Below are 18,436 nucleotides of genomic sequence, written 5' to 3'. Positions count from 1 at the left end.
AACCTGCACAATGTGCACATGTACCCTAGAACTTAAAATATAATAAAAGAAAAAAAAGAAAAAGAAAAAAAAAAAGAAAATGTGGTATATACATCCAATAGAATATTATGCAGCCTTAAAAAGGAAGAAATCTTGTCATATTTTACAACATGGATGAAATTTGCTGAATACGCCAGTAATAAAAGGACACATGCTATATGATTCCATGTATATGAAATATCTAAAGTAGTCCAAATCATACCAACAGAAAGTAGAAAGGCGAGTGTCAAATACTGGGGAGGGAAGAGGGGGAATAAATATTTGGTGGATATAGAGCTTCATTTTTGCAAGACAAAAAAGTTCTAGAGATCTGTTTCACAACAATGTGAATGTATTTAATTGAACTATACATTTAAAAATGGTTGAGATGGTAAATTTTATGCTATGTGTTTTCTTACCACAATAAACCAGACTTTTTCTTTAAAGTCAAAAAAATAAAATAAAATAAAATAAAGTAGAATTTAAACCTTTCAACACACACTGCACATGCACACACACACACACATGTACACACATGGGCATGTGTTATGAACAATAAAATAATAAAATTTGCATCAACTTGAAACTAAAACTATCTTGAAAACGGCAACTTTAGAGATTGAAATTGAAATTTCCCATTTGAAGCTTAAGGCAATAGACCTTCATTCTTTCACCCTCATTTCTGACATTGTTCTTCATTTTGCAACCTCCTTTCTCTCATGGAGCTGCAGCATTACCAGACTTGTAGATCATAATCTTCAAAAAGTCAGCATTTGCTTTATTGCTAAAGACATTTCTTGAAATGATCTGTCTCTGTGTCCCCGAACAAATCACATTTTGAATCCAAATTGTAATCCCCACAAGTTGGGGGAGAGATCTCATGGAAGGTGATTAGATCATGGCGGCAGTTCCCCCATGCTGTTCTCATGATAGTGAGTGAGTTCTCATGAGATCCGATAGTTTTATAACGGGTTTTCCCCCGCTTTGCTCTGCACTTCTCTCTTCTTCCACCATGTGAAGAAGGACGTGTTTGCTTCCCCTTCTGCCATGATTGTTAATTTCCTGAGGCCTCCCCAGCCATGCAGAACTATGAGTCAATTAAATCTCTTTCCTCTATAAATCACCCAGTCTCAGGCAGTTCCTTTTAGCAGCGAGAACAGATTAAGACACTTCTTTCAGCTGGGGGTGTTCCGCAGTGCACGTTTTATGAAATAGTTAACACTTTAACATAAACAACATTGATTTAAAAAAAATAGATCATGCTACAGACAGGTTGTTTTACTAAGGAACCAGCATAAGAAAGCATGACTTCACTTTGCTGCCCAATTTTAAGGTAATTTTGGTGAGATCTGGGAGGCTTTTTGTGTTTCCAGGAGCAGGAAGTGGAGAACAATTTTTAACACAAAAGTCGCTGGCACTGTGGCCATTTCACCCTTTGAGCACACTGCAGCCTACAGAAAAAGCCAATTTGGAGGTAGAATCAAAAATTCTTGCAAAATAGGGCAAGACAAACCAGTCCTTCAAATATGAGGAAGTGAAAAGAAAGCACCCTATTGCTCCAGGAATACTGCTCCATCCCCACTCATTAAAGGATTGTAAAATAAAAGTTGCCAAAATCTGCCACCAGGTGTATAGTTTGAGGAGGGGGAAAGATAATCCGTTAATATACAAGGTTTTAAAACTCAAATTATTGCACTTTTCGGGCTTAATTCCACAAGTTTTTAATTGAAAATAAAATAAATATTTTATTTGGGCTCAGTGAAAGACTAGACACATTAAAATGATTACTGCAAGGGCGATGCAGCAGAACCTCTATTGCTCCACCCTGTGGAGTTGATTTAGGATATTAGTCTTTTTGCCTAAGCACCGCTGGATTCCTCGACCTCCTTTTCTCTTCCCTCCCCAGGAACTCTCCAACCTGAAAAGGAACGCCTTCCACTCATCAGTCCTGGCTTAGAACCAGCTTAGCTGGAACCAGAAACATGCTCCATTCATTTCAAGAGATTCAACCCTCATCGTTCCAAAAATTTAGTTTATATTTGATGAACTTAAAGTGGCATCCCGTCAACATACAGGCGGGGACGGTGGGTTTAAAACCAGTCCCATCCCCAGTTTGCCTCAGAATCCCCAAGGCCAGCAGGACTGCCTAGAGATCAGGAGTGAAGCTGGGAATGACCATTTGGCTACTGCAGCCCTCACCTTGCGCTTTTCCACCTAGATTTGTTTGTGGGGCAGGGGAGAGAACTGGAGAGAAGTGGGGCGGTGGTGGACAAATTCTGGGGGATAGGTGAAAAGAGAACATGAGACGTATCCGAATAAAGTTTTCTACGTCCTCAAAGAGAAATGGCACTGACGGAGAAACCGAAAAGAAACCTTCAGATTCTCACCAGCGGTGATTTGCGCTGCAAAGGGCGCAGAAACGCGGCTCTCAGACCTTGCCTGCGCGTGGGTTAATTAAAACCAATCCAGGTTCTGCAGCCCCCGACTCCTCCCTGCGGTTTAGCAGAAGGTAGGCGGGCTGCCCCAACCCTTAAATACCCACGGGTCGACGCCGGCCAGAACCACGGACAGCTCCCGCCCTGTGGCCCATGTGTCCTCCCAGCGCTGTGCGGTCTGCAGTTTCACCCGGAGGACAAGGAGTGTGGCTGCAGATCGGGTCGGCCTGCCCTTGCTCTGCTTCTTCCCCACCCACACTTGGTGGGTGTCTTCTAGGCTGTCCAGCCTTGAACTAAGCACCCCAAGAGGAGTCAGAGCCCGAGAGATGAGAAAGGGGCGCCCGATGAAGATCTAGGTCCGTCCCTCTCTGGGAGCTCAGCTACTGCGCCCGAGAGGCAGCGCTCAGACAGCGGGGAGGAGGCGGCCGCGGAGCCCCCGGAGATGGAGGGTGAAGGCCTGCTTTCAAAGTATCCCACGTCGTTCAGGTACCACTTCCTTTGAGAACTCTTGTTTGCTCACAAATGAGAGAGAGAGACCAGAGACGTATGAGAGGCCTCACTGTACAGTGAAACTGAGGTTTCCCAGCATAATAAGAGCAGTCCTCATCCACTTTCCCCTCCCTATCCCTTCTCCACGCTCTTTCTAACTTGGTTCTTCGAGGAAAGAGGTTAGCCAGATGTGAAACTCACTCATCCATCGCGCTTCCCCTTTCCCCAGCCACTGGTAGGTCTTCACACTCCCCACCTCCCTTCTTCCCAGACCTGCCAATCTTCAGGTCCCATGGAGAGAGCTGAGAAGAAGGTTGAATCTCCAGGGCCCAGATGGGTTGGGACCTGGGGGTTCTCTCCTTCTGGTGGAAGGTGGAGAGGGAGTGTGAGATCCTTCTGCTTCAGGTTGGTCTTTTCTACTGGCTTCTGTTTTAAGTGCAGGGGAGAGCTCAATGAAAAAGTCTGTTTCTCCAAGACTGAAGAAGTTTTTTGCAAGTGCAACCTTTGTTCAAAGAGTTGGACCTTTCTTTGTGTATGTGTGAGGAGGGGTGTGGGGGGATGAGTGAGGAATTCTGGGAAGCATATTTTAATTCATTTGATCAATGGCTTCCAAGTGTTCGGTCTCTGTTAACCCCCAAAGGACTCAGGGCTCGTCGTAGAGAGAGTGGGAGGCTGGACTAGGCAGTGGGGAGAAGATAGAGGAAGGTGGAAGGTGGCCACCAAGTTTTCTTCTTGGTTGGGCATTAGAATGGGAATGCAGACATGCTGTTGTCTTTAAGGATTTAGAATATAAATTACTGCTGTTGGTTATGGGTATCCGAACTAGAATCAGAAGCAGGAAGTGTTTGTAAAAGGGTGTCTGGAAATCTGAAAACTAAATATTCAGTTAGGCTTTACCTACTTAGTTGAAGACAGAAAAAAACAACCACCTGATATCTTCAGGCAAGTGCTGCATGCTCTAAAAAGACACCATTTGGGGAGTATAAAAGAATACACCAACATGATCTCTGCAGCAAATGTCGCAATACAAGCCAAGTGCCCACTAGTAAGATTGCTCAGATAAATTATTATCTATGTAACAGAACATTGTTCAAGAGTTCAAAATAAAATGAAGTAAATCTATAAATAATGACCTAGGGAAGTCTATGAGGTATTTTTAAGCAAACAAAAAGCATGACCACATTTCCATTTTTTGAAAAACGCTATTAATGATGTATATGTATATACATGGATATATGTATGTTTGCATGATCACAGAGGATAACAGAAACTAGCAAGTGGGAATGTTGCCAGTGGTTACTACTGGGTCTGAAATGATGGTCAAAGACTGCTCTTGCTCTTTATCCCACATGCTGTTTTAAAAAGAAGAAAGATAATGTGATTAAAGGTAATTTGAACTTGTTACTCTTGCTGTTTTTATTTTTATTTTACTATTTTATGTCATAAAATATTACTGAAATTTGAGGATAAAAAGCAAGTACGTGAAGATTTCAATTACTGATCCATCTCTCCCTTTCAATCCCTTGAAGCAAAGATTCGTCATTTAGAATTCAGACCTGCCAAGACCACGGATGCTTTGTCTCAGGTGAAAATTTACATGAAATGTAACACTTCTAAGTCCATTGTCACCATGTTTATTGATGCCTTAAAACAAGAGCTCAGATGTGGGCATGCTCACCCAAAAGAAAGAGGTAAATCATTGTATTTCTCTATGCAGAGGCTCTGAATCTAAACTGAGGATGGAGATAAAGTTCTGCCATTTCCCTGGATTGGCTATGATTACAAACCTGTTCCACTTTAAAGGCAGTTCCTGGAATTGGCATGTGCCACAGTCTACACACAACTTTGCTATTTCAAGCCTTTCTAACTAAGGAGACAGCAGAACATCATAGTTAAACAAGGGCTGAACATGGTTTTGCCATTCACTCAATACATGACCTTAAGCAAGTTATTCATCATCTTGTGCTTTGGTTTCCTCACTGGTAAGGTGAGAACATAACAGTATCCACCTTATAGGTTTGATGGGAGTGTTAAGGAAGACAAGCCTGTAAGGAGCTTAGCAGAATGCTAACTGTAGTAGTTATTATCACTAATCCTACGTGGAAAAAATGCAAATCAAGGAGAGTGGAAACCTGTTGAAAGCAAATTGGTCCTTTTTGGATAAAAATATCCATAATGAACAAGAGGGATGGAGCTGGAGATTATAGGTTAAGGAACCTGACGCTACAGTCTGCATAGTTAGATGGAATAACGTGGAGGGTTTGAGTCAGGACCCCTGGATTCAACTCCCAGCTGTGCCGCTTACCAGCTATTCCCACATGAACAAATATGTTACCTCTCTGTACTTCTTGTTAACTACAAAATGCCAACAATAATACACACTTTCTATGCAGACTGTGAAAATTAAACGAATTCTAAGCATTCAGTACATGTTAGCTACCATCTGTCTCTTACCCTCTAAAAGCAAAATTGCTTCAGATGCTCTCAGTGACCCTCCCCCCACCCTTCTGCCCTTTCCTTTTCAGTGCAGAATGGCTGGCTGCCAACTGCCAGCTCCTAAGTTTCTCTTTTTAAAAGTTTTATTCAGATTCTAAGGCACTTTGCCTTTATGGTAGACCAAAAGTTCCTAGGAATTAATACCTTTGCATCACATTATTCCTCTACCAATGACCAGTAAGAGCTGGTAGAGGCTTTCTTCCTCACTGACTCTCAAAGTTTTATCAGAGGCAGTAAGCTCAGTTGCCCACAATAATAGCTGCCTGCCTGATAACACTCCATGTAATTATTGCCTTTCTTTACCTGTCTCTGTTTCCCATTTTTCTATTTTTAGTTTCCAACTATACTATTTCCACCAGGATCCTTTTCTCAGAGTCTGCTTCTAAAAGACCCAAACTAGGACATATGTGCATATGATGATAATGACGACAATGATGAAGACGATGATGATGATGATGATGATGATGATGGTGTGTGTTTCTCACCCAAGCTTCTGCGTTGTTTTTTCCCCAAGAGTCTCATCTATTAGCCCTTATCCTATAAATGATTAATGCTAATGTCTCTTTTTTTCTCTCTTAGCTCGGATATCTTCATTTCTCCTTCTTACAGTTTCCTTGTTTCCGAGGAAAAACACAAGATCTTGACAACTGCAATCACCTGGTAACCAATCATGAATCTGGTATGGACCACTTTCACCCTGTAAGTAAAATGCACTTGTTTATCTTAATTCCACCTCACAACTTATTGGTTATACTCTTCAACCTTCCAAAAAGAAGATTCTAGGCAGGCTTTTTATCTGCACTGAAAATAAATGCCATCATTGCCACTATCACGCAAGAAGCTGACAGGCAGATCCCTATCTTTCCTAAGAATATGGCTAGAAATTTAGGCCAATCAATATGTTGTACTATAAAAACTCTAGCCCCAAATATATAGACAAAGGTAAATTGAACTCTCTTGTTCATGTGTAACTTGGAGAGAGTAATTCCACACAGTAGAGTGAGTAGTCTGGAGTGAATAGTCTGGGCTGGGTTTATATCTTGCCTCCTCCACTCCTAGCTGGGTAACCTTGGGGAATTTATTTAACCTACATCAACTTTGGTCTCCCTGTTTATGAATTGGGGATAATGAAAATAATACATACTTCACATTCTTTTTGGTAAGGATTATATATACTATATATAGTAAGTACTTAATACAAAGGCATATAGTTAGTGTCCAGGAAATGTTAACCCTTGTTATTCCTATTGATAATAATAATAAACAGCAATAGAATCTTACTGAGGAACCATAAGGGACCTCATGGTACATACCAGATTTATACATCTCAAAGCTGAAAAGAGACCACAGACATTCTGCAGCACAGAAATTCCCCAGCTGAGGTCAGGTGAGGTGACCTTCTCAAAAACACAGGATTCATTTCAACAAGCAAACGTGGTGATTGCTTACTGCATGATAGATATGATTGTTGATATTGGGTTTGTTATTGTACGTACTACAGGCTAAGAGGAGAGTTAGTTTTTGGAACACAAAAAGGCTATAATTTCATGCAGAATCTGTTTATTGAGATCTAGCAGGTGGCCACAAATAATACCTAACACCAGCTGAAAATAGGAAACCATTTCTCTTTTCCAGGCCAAGAATATTTCCAGGAACCAAACTGCTTTGGAAGGGGAAGTGGGGCTTCTTGGATAAAGTTTCCTGGAGAGAAAAGGAGTTCTAATTAGTATGGGCACTGAGGTGAGGATAGATAGAAACAGACATGGGGGCAGCATGCTTCTGTCTGGCCACCCTTAGCGGGTTGATATCTTGATCAGTTGGTTGGTCAGTTCCTAGGATAGAATAAGGATCCACAGCATGTAGACCATATCACTGCCTAGGAAACACACAGTGGTGCTTGCCCTAGGAATTTCTGCCCCTTCTTTCCAAGACCCCACATTGGAGGCTCTATCCAGAGTGAACTACTGAAATTCTTTTAGAACTTTTAACCCAAATAAAGCTGGGCTACCTTATGTCCTATTTTAGAAATAGTACTTCTTTCTAAAGAAATGTCATCATGACAAAAACAAAAAAACAACAACAAAAAACATTGTCAAGCAATATAATTCTTTAGTGGAATCTTTGGAAAGGGCAACTTATGGGAAATTCCATTTCTTGCCATACAGTAAAATGCCCTGATGCGCCACAAATTGCTCTTCTCTCTTTTCCTGTACTTTTTATCAGTCTCAAACCTCCAGCTCTTCTTTCTTTCTCATATTTATCTTCCTATCTCCTGACTTTCTGGCTCCAAAGATAACAGCGTTATGGTACACATCAGAATCTCTGAAACCAAATTGGCTAATTAGCTTTGAACCTCGGCACTATCATGGTTTGTTTGTGGTCTTGGAAAAGTTGCCCAACAGTGGTTGACATATATTATATTAACTTTTACCTTGTGCCAGGCAGGTATTAAGTAACTAGCCCAAAGTTACTTAGCTAGTTAATGATAGAGCCAGGACCTGGCTCAAGCAACTTGACTCCAAAGCCTACATTCTTCTTCTTTTTTTTTTTTTTTTTTTTTTTTTTTTTTTTTTTTTAGCGGAGTCTTTCTCTGTCACCCAGGCTGGCACAGTGCAATGGCACGATCTCAGCTCACTGCAACCTCCGCCTCCTGGGTTCAAGTAATGCTCCTGCCTCAGCCTCCTGAGTAGCTGAGATTACAGATGCATGCCACCACACCCAGCTAATTTTTTTTTTTTTTTTGTATTTTTAGTAAAGACAGGATTTCACTATGTTGGCCAGGCTGGTCTTGAACTCCTGACCTCAAGCAATCCTCCTACCTTTGCCTCCCCAAGTGCTGGGATTACAGGCGTGAGCCACCACACTTGGCCCAAAGCCCAGACTCTTGAGGACTATGCTGTTCTGCTATGTTATGCCTCAGTTTTCTCATCTTTAGATGGGGGTAATAATAATACTGCTTCATGGCAGGAAAAATAATGTACTGGGGAGTGTTAACGCTATAAATATATTAATTTCCTTCTGACATTAAATGGTTTTAATGGTTGCATTTTACTGAGTCTACTAAAATTCAGAGACATTAAGTTACTTTTTTTGTAGTCTCCCTGGTAAGTTGCTGAACAAAGCTGGGCTTAAATTTAAATCTATACTATTTCTAGTTGAGGCATTCAAACTCATACTCAGCCATCTGAGGATGATGTAGTATTGGGCGTCTGATTTTTACCTTCCTGGGCCTCAGTTTTCTCACCTTTAAATTTAGGGTGTTCACCTCACAAATCCATGATAATTATAAAAATTCGATATAAAATTGTAATTTGTAGACCTTCCAATGGCATGGACATGTTAAGTGTGGTATTGTTAAGTATTATTGGGTCTTTCTAGAAGCGTTTGCCCAAGTTGCACAGAGCTGGGGAATAAACAAAGTTTCATGGAAACACCAGACACGTCAAAATCACCCAAGGACACCACAGATGGCCATTCAGCCTACTGGGGGATCTAGTAAGAGAACCTACTGAGGAGAGGATAGAGGGGAGCCTGCTAAGGTACCTGAGGCCAGAGATACAGGAAAATTAGCTGACCTCACTGCACATGTGGGGATGGGGGGAGAATCCCTGTTCTGCTGGAACAACAGCGCTTCAGAGAGGCTACTACTCATGGTGAAGAAGGAAGCTTTAACAGTGGAGATCATGAAGACCACAATCACCTACACATCCAATCTTCCCTTATCCCCTGTCCTAACAGAATCGCTGTACTTGCCTTTCCTTTGAACGTGGGTTGCCTCAGGCATTTGTTCAACAAATACTTGTTAAGCACCTATGATGTGACAGACACTATTCCAAAGCATACAGACAAGATTTCTGCTTTTATAATATCTGTATCCTGACAGAGGGAGGCAGGAGGGGAGACTAAAAGAAACAAATGAAGGATATGATTATTTTGTCTGATAAAGACTGTGAAGAAAATAAACATCTGATTGCTCATCAAAATCATCTTTGGTAATAGATCATGATATACTTTTGCCAAATAACCTGAAGGTGCTCAAAGAATTGAGTGGCATTACTATATAGTTTCTCAGCACCTACAACCATAAAAAATGGGGAAAAACCCAAACAAAAATAATCAATACTGGTTCCTGTTTCATTTTAGTAACAAATAAATTTTGCATAAACTAAGAGGGTTAAAAAATTTTCCATCATTTTAATTAACAAATGCATTTCCAATTATAGTGCACTTTTGTGGTTAGCAATTATTTATAAATTGTGTATTAATAATATTTGTAAATATCACTCAATCCAAAACATGTTTTAACCCTCAGGATCTTAGAGTCATGGAAAAAAAGTTTTAAAGAGGCTTAATTTATACTCATTTTTTTTGTGAAGATCAATAAAATGCTTTTAGGAATAAAATATATTGCATTGCAACAAAATTTTGTGAGCAATATGAAATGAAAATATGGTTTCAAGAAAAGAGGACAAACAGAAAATTTCTAACTATTAGCAAAGTGCATACCACAGCTTTCGGCTGGATTATTGTGAGTATCAAGCTGCAATGGAATCAGATTTCAATGGATACCAATAGAAGAATTAGCTAACCGTTTTATTTTAAATGTGAATATTTTAATACACCAGCGATTACATTTTTATGACATAGGATAAATTTTTAGGCAGTGACTTAAAAAAATCTGAGGGGTATACATATTTGCAAAATTCTTTTAGAGAGTGTATAAGATTTGAATATCACGTGCGTAATCTTTAGACTGCACTATACTTAGTGGCCCCTAGATGGAGTCTCTCCTCACATGTTGCCCCAGTTCCACAAGGACAACTTGGAAGGGTGGAGAGCTCTCATTTGCATTAACTGCTCCACAAATTATTAAAAAGGCCTTGATAGGAAGCTCACTGGAAGGAAAATGTGGCATAGTGGAAATAGCAGTAGATTTTGCTCAACATTAGTTTTCCTGATTCTTCTCCTAACTAGTTCATTGGCTCTCTGAGCCTCAGTTTCCTCATTTGAAATATGAGTGGTAGGATACATTCATATAAAGAATACAGACTCTGGGATTGGACTGCCTGAGCTCAAATTTCAGCTTTGCTACTTACCAGCTGGGTGACCTGATACATGTTTTTGATATCTCAGTGTTTTCTGTCATCTAATAACCATAATAATAATGATAGTAGTACCTATTGAATAGAGTTGTGATGATTAACCAAATTAACACTTATAAAGTGCTTTGAATAGTGCCTAGCACATAGATATAATTACTACTTATTACCTTAACTATTAATATTATTATAATCATTAACATGGCTTTTGAAAAAGTGAAAATGAACAATGCATGGGAAATGCTTTAAACCCCATGGCTGCTACACAACTAAAAGAAATGCTAATAAATCACATTAGCTATGGTGCTTTCAGCAGCAAATTACAAAAACAAAAACAAAACTAAAATGGGTTTAACCTAGGAGGAGATTTATTATTTCCTATAACAATAAGCTCATATACGTGACAGTCAGGGCTCCAGTGCTATAATTCCAGGCTCTGCCCCGTGAGGTGTTCTTTGTGCTCACAGTATCTTCCCTCTCACTCACAAGACAGCTACTACCGGAAGCTTAAGCCAGGTACTTCCTTCTTCCCTTCCATCTAATTGGCCAACGTAAGTCAGGTGCTCACCTCTGCATCACTAATATTTCTTAAGGAAGTTCCGCGCACTGATTGCCTTAACCCCGGTGTCTGAACTGATCCCTGGTACATGGGATAGCGTGACTAGGTTAGGACAATCAAGATCCAGACCCTGGAACTGGAGATATGAGTCACACATCTCAGTCAGTGTCCCAGCAGGGAGCAGATGGCACATTGAAACTAGTTTAATAAGAATTTAATAAAGTGACCATAAAGCTGTGGGCAAAGTTTAGGGAACTCAGCAAGGGATGGTGCAGTGTCCAGGGCTGGCAACAACAGGAACCAATACCTCCCTCAGCCTGAGGATTAGGGGGTTATTATTAGAACACAAGTGCCGAGAATCAGATAGGGAGGGTTGCCCAAGAGGTTCTTTGTCCATTCACAGAGGGATGCTGTCAACTTGCAACTACCTAGCAAAGAAGGAAGCCAGAAGAATAAATACCCACCCTCCCTCTGAAAGCCACAGTGCAAGGAAGCCATTAATGCCATCAATGCACACTCATCACCAGATCAGGCACTCAGACTCTAGGTCACAGTGGAGAAGGATAAGCAAATGGAATTATGAGCATACATGGACATTGAATACACATGAACTGTACAAAGGAGGGGACAGATACCTAAACAAAATCACATCCTGTTAGGAAAGAGGAAGAGGAATGCTGGTTAGACATCTAACACAATTCGCTATAAGTATTCTTTTTCAAAATAAGATTGTTCTATTTTGGTTTCAAATATAAATTATCTACAATTGAAGATATCTTTAATTTTTAAGTAAAATTCCTCCTCAAAGGAGAGGCACAACAAGATAACAAAAAAGGCTGAACTGTCACTACTTGATGAGAGATTTAGGGAAAGATGAATGTCTTGACCTTTCAGGGGAAAGTGAAGAAATCCATTCCCAGAAGGGATTGCAAAGGGAAGTGGCTGTTCCCTTGATAAGGCCAAAGAGGGCAAGCCTAATGAGGCCTAAGCCAGTTACATGGTGTAATTTACTGAATGGTGTTGGCTGCCTTGCAATGTTTCAAGGCAATCTTTTTGCAATACATGATTAGTAGGAAAAAGAGATTTGGATTTTGCCATTTTCCAAAGGAAACTTGACTACATTTAGTAATACAGAAAAATGTTCTCTTTGGAAAGTCTCATATTTCTATGCAAAGTGGTGTCCCAAGTCAGAATTTACACAATGTATTATTGCCTAGTGTATGAGGATCAGCTAATTAGTTCTGAACGAAATGTCAAGATAAACAAAACCAACCTCTAAAGAACTCCAAGAAGCTCTGTGACTAAGTGTCACCATCAAGGACGAGAAGAGTCTACACCAGTGATTCTCAACACTGGCTATGTATTAGAACTTTTTGGGAGATCTGAAAATTTTCTGGGCCCAGATTCCACCCCAGAGCAATTAAATGAGAATCTCTTTCATTAAGGTACAGGCATTGGTGCTTTTTGAAAAGCTCCCCAAGTGATCCTCGTATGCTTCCAGGGTTGAGAAGCTCTGGTCTATAGGACACCTATACTTCCAATAGATGCAGCATGCTCAAATCAATCAGATCAGTTGCTGTGCTGATGAGTCAATTCAGTCCAAGTAGCCATGTTAGCATGTAAAGCCTATGACTATTTTGTTGTGTCTTTTAGCCAGATATTGAGCCAGCACAATAGAGCAGTTAAAAAGGAGGACGGCCTGGGGTCAAATTCTGTGTCCACTCATGGGCTATGTGACTTTAGAAAAGTCACTTAACTCTTTTGAGGCTTAGTTTCATCATCTGTAAAATGGGGGCAATGGTAGGAATTACAACACAGATTGTGTTGAGTATTAACTTAGAAAATATTTATGGAAGTCTTAGAGCAGTGCCCATCACAGAGTGAGCCCTCACTAACTGCGCACTGTAGTTATGTGTCTAGATTTAAGCCAGCTGGAAGTGCCAGGAGGATCCCTACACCTTTCCCACTGGCTTTGTAGAGTTCTGTCTGGCAGGGGGTTGGGGAGGAGAGGTTGTTGAAGTTACTGGATATTTTGGCCCCTCCCAATCCAGAATATATGGGTCTATGAGATGCTTTGGAGTATTTCTGCATGACAGGTAAGGACTTTAAGAATGAAAACGACTACTATTTCTGCCAATAATTGCCACCGTTTATTGATTGTGTCAGGCACCCTGTCAGGCAGTTTCCATCTTCTCACAATCTTCACAAGAATCCTACAGAAACAAGACGTATCCCCCGATTTACTGATGATGATCCTTCAGCCCAGAGATGGTGAGTAACTTTCCCAAGGTCATCCAGCCAATAAATGACCAAAGTGGGATTTAATCCCAGATGTCTCTGGCTTCAGACCTCATGCTTTTTTAACAAAGCTATGTTGCCTGCCTTCAATGACACTCTTCAACCTTAGGACTGTGGTAACTTCTTATCTTGGGGGGACAACAAACAACAAACAAAACCCCCAAAACAAAATCTCTTGTTGAACAAATGGGGCCATGTCCCAAAGATGGAGCCTTCTCAGCAAATCTCTTCCTTTCTAAGGTACCACAGGTCTAGAGAATAGAAGTTAAGGGCAGACATTGTGGAACTGGCTTTGGTCTGTGAAGAGTAAGTAAACCCATTATCTAGTATTCTGGGATCCAGAGCCTTCCCTGGAAGGGGACATTTTTAAAGGGAATATTTTTAATCGTGCAGGATGAGCCAGCAGGTAGTGGTGCTCCATGAAGAGAGGGCAGTGTCTGCCTTTGGTGCTCCTCTGAAGATGGGCTCTCATTACTGATGGGTTCAGAGGTTGGGAGTGATCAGTGGGCGGAAGGCTGCTCACAGCCCATTTCTTAAGAAGTTAACATAAGTCAATCCATACAATTAGTTCAGAAACCCACTACCTACTTACTCCTGGGAAGGCTAGCAGAACTATTATAATCTCACTTTCTCCTGGCCCAAATGGAGACACTTGGTCACACATGAATCTTTACTGAGTTTAAAAAGTGCTTATGTGAAGTCTCTTACAAACATAACATTTTTAATCACATTTATAAAAATATATTTAATGTCCTCATTGCAAGGACAAAATGTCGATAATAATAGCCTAGGTTTGTTGGTTTTTTTTTAATGTGCCAAGTTTTATATATATTAACCCACTTAAGCCTTACTATAACCCTATGAAGTATTGACCTATTTTTCAGCTGAGGAAAGTGTAGCCCAGAGATGCTGAGTAATTGCATGATGGATTGTGTGGTAGTTCTCTATTATCTATCAGGACCCAACAGGAATAGAAGGAATACTCAAATTGAGTAAATTGGGAGGAATTCATTATGGGGACTGCATACAAGCAATGGGCAAGTTGTAAAAAAATCTACAAGGAATAGGCAAAGCCCCACCCCTAAACTTAAACGGAAAGAAAGATTTTAACAGGGGCTGTTACGTTGAGTGGAGGGAGGTAGCCAGGCCACGTGGCCCAGCAGGGAGGGAGCTAGGGGAATAAATATCCTAATCACTCCCCTCTTTCCCTCTCATCTCCTACAGCACTCTCCATCGGCTGAACCCAACTGGAAGTCGGAGGGTAAAGGGCCCATGACTCAGTCCGTTCAGGCTGACCCGCCTGGGGCTCAGAGCATAACAGACAAGGGTGGGGAAGAAAAAAGAATGGACTTGGAGAAGCAAATGGGAAATATTCAGGCACTTCTGATCTCAGTTTGGCCAGTCGGCTCCCCTCTCTCTGACTGTAAACACAGAGATACAGAAACTGTCATTAGAAATGAGTAGTGTTAATGATCCATGACAGAAAGCTCGTGAATTTCTACTGCTGAGGAGGCTTGAGCTTTTCTGTTTTCATTCTTTCTACACATCGGGAGCGGAGCTCCCCAATGCCTTTCTGATACATCGCTACTTCTGCTTCACCTAATCAAAGGCACTTACTGCTGCTCAGAACCTCAGGCCTCCAACTGAACAATGAACAGGTTTTCTCTCCATCACCCCCTGTTCTCTAGTGTGAGTAGTTAGATTACTGCTTTTATGTCTGTCTTCCCAACTACAGTCCACAAAACGGCTCATATTGAACAGTAATACAAATAAAGAGAAAAAGGAGAGAAGACAAGAACAAAAAGTAATGAGTTTAGAAACTTGGAAAGTAGAAACTTCTTTGGTATGTTCCTGTTGAAAACCACTGGTCTCATCTTCCACTTTTTCACATTGCTGTTTCAGAGAAAAACTTAATTATACTTAATTATAGGGTTGTAATGTTTATAGGGTTGGTTATTCTGGTTAGCCAAATTTACTGGTTATCTGTTTAGAGCCTTTGAATTTTAATTCTAGCTGACACATTTGTTAAAACATTATTAGCTTACCTTTCTTCCTTAATGAGTACTGGATCTTCCCAGAGAAAAGGTTCCCAGTCATTTACCTGGAATTTTTTATACATATTTGCAGCTGTTCTTTGAGCTCCCTAAAGAGCATAATTAGAGACATAACATTCACTCAGATTTTCTGCCCTTCTTTGTAATAAGTCAATGAGCCAGTCATTTATTCCACAAATATTTGTTGATACCTACTGTGTGCCTGTCAGCAGTTCTCCAAGCAGGGGCTACAAAAATAAAAAGATTGTCTTTTAATGAGGAGCAACTTCGAGTCTTAGCTCTTGGTACTCCCTCTGTCTAGTAATATCCATTTTTATACTTAGTATTTTAATAAATAACTCTTCCTCAAATTATTTTAAAACACACAGTAACAGAAAAAATTATTTATTTATTCTACTTTCTCTTAATTACACCTGTGGGGAGCTTGGCGGGGCAGACTCTGGGTTTCCAGCCAAGGTCTTTCTGTCCACCTGGGGGCAGCAGACCCTCACACAGAAAAGTACCTCGAAGGAAGCAATTGGCTTTCTGAGCTCCTGGCTTTCAAACACAAGTCTTCCAAATTATGGACCCATGAATATTCTAAAGACTTATACTCGAAGGACGCTTCCAAAATCAAATAAATTTGGGTTGAACCAAGTTAAATAGGGTTTTAACCCTGCAGGACTTCTCACGATGTTTAATATACTTTTTTTTTTCTTTTCTTTCTTTCTTCGACAGAGTCTCGCTGTATTGCCAGACTGGAGTGCAGTGGCGTGATCTCGGCTCACTGCAACCTCCGCCTCCCAGGTTCAACTGATTCTCCTGCCTCAGCCTCCTGAGTAGCTGGGACTACAGGCGCCCACCACCACGCCCAGCTAATTTTTTTTTATTTTTAGTAGAGATGGGGTTTCACCATGCTGGCCAAGCTGGTCTCGAATTCCTGACCTCAGGTGATCCACCCGCGTTAGCCTCCCAAAGTGCTGACATTACAGGTGTGAGCCACTGCGCCGGGCCTAATATAGTTTTGTCGTACAAAACACGATGGCATACTTGCTCTGTGCAAAGTACATCACCCACAGTGGCCTATTTAAACTTGGCAACAGTCCTATGAGATAGGCACTAATTGTGTTCCCCATTTTACAAATGAGGAAACAGAGGCACGGAGCTTATAACTGGTGGCTGAGTTTCCGGTTGGGGCCATCTAGTTACAGAACTTGCATGCTTAATCATGACACCGTAATGCTTTGCAATGGGAGATTCCAAGAGGGGGAATTTGACATTCAGTGTTTCCCAAATTTATTTGGCTTTGGAACCCTTTTATTCCTTCTAATCAACATAGAGGACAAGTATGTAATGGGATACTCTGATAAATGCTTCAATAAAGCAATGGCTTTATGCCGCCCCGCTTTAAAAGATAACTAAAAATATAAGTCCACAGGCCCATCATATAATTGAACAGGTAACGACTGAATTTTGATTTGATGGAAAGACTCTTATCATATTAATCTAAGTTCTCAAAGTGAATGCCACTAAACCAAGACTATTCAGTGTATTTGAAGTATGTACAATACCAGTCCGAATTGGGACTTCTCAGGAAGAAAAAAGGGTATATGGCAGATGGGTAAGAATAGAAAGCCACAGGTCTAGCAGGGAAGCTAAATATGGTGTGGAATGTGTTGGGGAGATGGGAAAAATGCTCACCTCTTCATGGAAGTTCGAAAAGAAGGCTGAGATTCTAAATAATGCTGGAGTATTGCAGCTGGAACAAGCATGATAGCAATGGCCAACACAAGGCCTTTCTAGAATAAATCTAAAACAATTAAGAGATAATATGATAGCATTGGGAGATATACCTAATGCTAGATGACGAGTTAGTGGGTGCAGCGCACCAGCATGGCACATGTATACATATGTAACTAACCTGCACATTGTGCACATGTACCCTAAAACTTAAAGTATAATAATAATAAAAAGAAAAGAAAAAAAAAAGAGATAATATGCCAGGGGGTTGATGCCAGGTAATACTGATAGTTACCTTAAACAATGTTTTCTCAACTTCAGTTTTTTACACACCAACTTCATGATTTTTTTCTATCAAGATACGACTACTATTATTTATCTAGCGTTTTTTAAATTGTCTTATATCTTTGCTTAAATTTATTTTTTTAAACATTAATATCTGAGAATTCATCATTTTGAAGGAATAATTATATTGTTCTAATATATAAATTTTAAAGTTAATATCTTTATTCCATCTAAAGTGGTATGTGTACTATTCTTTGGAAATGATTTTCTAAAGGATTAAAAACTTGCCAGTGTTGGAAAAAAAAGGAAACAGGAAAATTAAGACTGAGTTAAAGAAGGTGAAAACAAAATTGAAGAATAAGACTAAAGGTTAGACATGAAATAGATCTGTCTCTAATTAGAGGTGCAATGTCAAATTTTTTTGTAGATCGTTCTAAAAATATCACTTGTTCTTTTGCTTGTATTTTAATTCAATGATTAAATAAACAGATGACCTAGTTTCATTAACAGATTATCTTTTTCTTAGTTCTGTCTGATAACTGCAACAAAAATGTCAAATACCCCTCATATAAATTATCAAATCAAAAGGTTATTCATTATATGGAATGTTTTATTTATGACCATCTGTATTGCAGCTTTGAGTTAACATTAACTTGGATGGCTTTTATTTTTATTTTTTTGAGAGAGTCTCACTCTGTCACCCAGGCTGGAGTGTGGGGGCGCAATCACAGCTCACTGCAACCTCAACTTCCTAGACTCAGCCTCTCAAGTATCTGGGACCACAGGTGCCTGCCACCATGCCTGGCTAATTTTTTGTTATTATTTGTAGAGATAAGGGTCTCCCTGCATTGCCCAGGCTGGTCTCGAACTCCTGGGCTGAAGTGATCCTCCCACCTTGGCCTCCCATAGTGCTGGGATTACAGGTGTGAGCTTCTGCACCTGGCCTTGGGTGACATTTTAGAAATCAATTTTGAATTTTTAAAA

General features: G+C 40.3%; 1 long non-coding RNA gene across 1 annotated transcript, besides 2 other annotated features; it reads left to right on the top strand.

The window, feature by feature from the left end:
- Nucleotides 2,084-2,261: a silencer, noted in NCBI's record as "fragment chr12:103218752-103218929 (GRCh37/hg19 assembly coordinates)". NCBI's record gives its function as "represses an EF-1alpha promoter that drives an FKBP-Casp9 reporter gene in an ReSE screen in K562 erythroleukemia cells {active_cell/tissue: K562}" and the evidence as "EXISTENCE:reporter gene assay evidence [ECO:0000049][PMID:32094911]".
- Nucleotides 2,450-2,744: a silencer, noted in NCBI's record as "tiled region #11085; HepG2 Repressive DNase matched - State 9:DNaseU, and K562 Repressive non-DNase unmatched - State 10:DNaseD". NCBI's record gives its function as "represses a minimal TATA promoter and a strong SV40 promoter by Sharpr-MPRA in HepG2 cells, with weaker repression in K562 cells {active_cell/tissue: HepG2 | K562}" and the evidence as "EXISTENCE:reporter gene assay evidence [ECO:0000049][PMID:27701403]".
- LINC00485 (long intergenic non-protein coding RNA 485) lies at nucleotides 2,836-17,952 on the top strand. The gene is made up of 5 exons (NR_033855.1): nucleotides 2,836-2,939; nucleotides 4,472-4,527; nucleotides 6,018-6,137; nucleotides 13,263-13,367; nucleotides 14,619-17,952. It is a non-coding gene; the product is annotated as a long intergenic non-protein coding RNA 485 (long non-coding RNA).
- Nucleotides 17,953-18,436: the final 484 nt, after the last annotated feature.

Source organism: Homo sapiens, chromosome 12 (genome assembly GCF_000001405.40).
Source record: "Homo sapiens chromosome 12, GRCh38.p14 Primary Assembly".
NCBI classification, from domain to species: Eukaryota; Metazoa; Chordata; class Mammalia; order Primates; family Hominidae; genus Homo; species Homo sapiens.
Note: the sequence above shows the minus strand (reverse complement) of the source record. Positions and strands in the feature narration are given on the sequence as shown.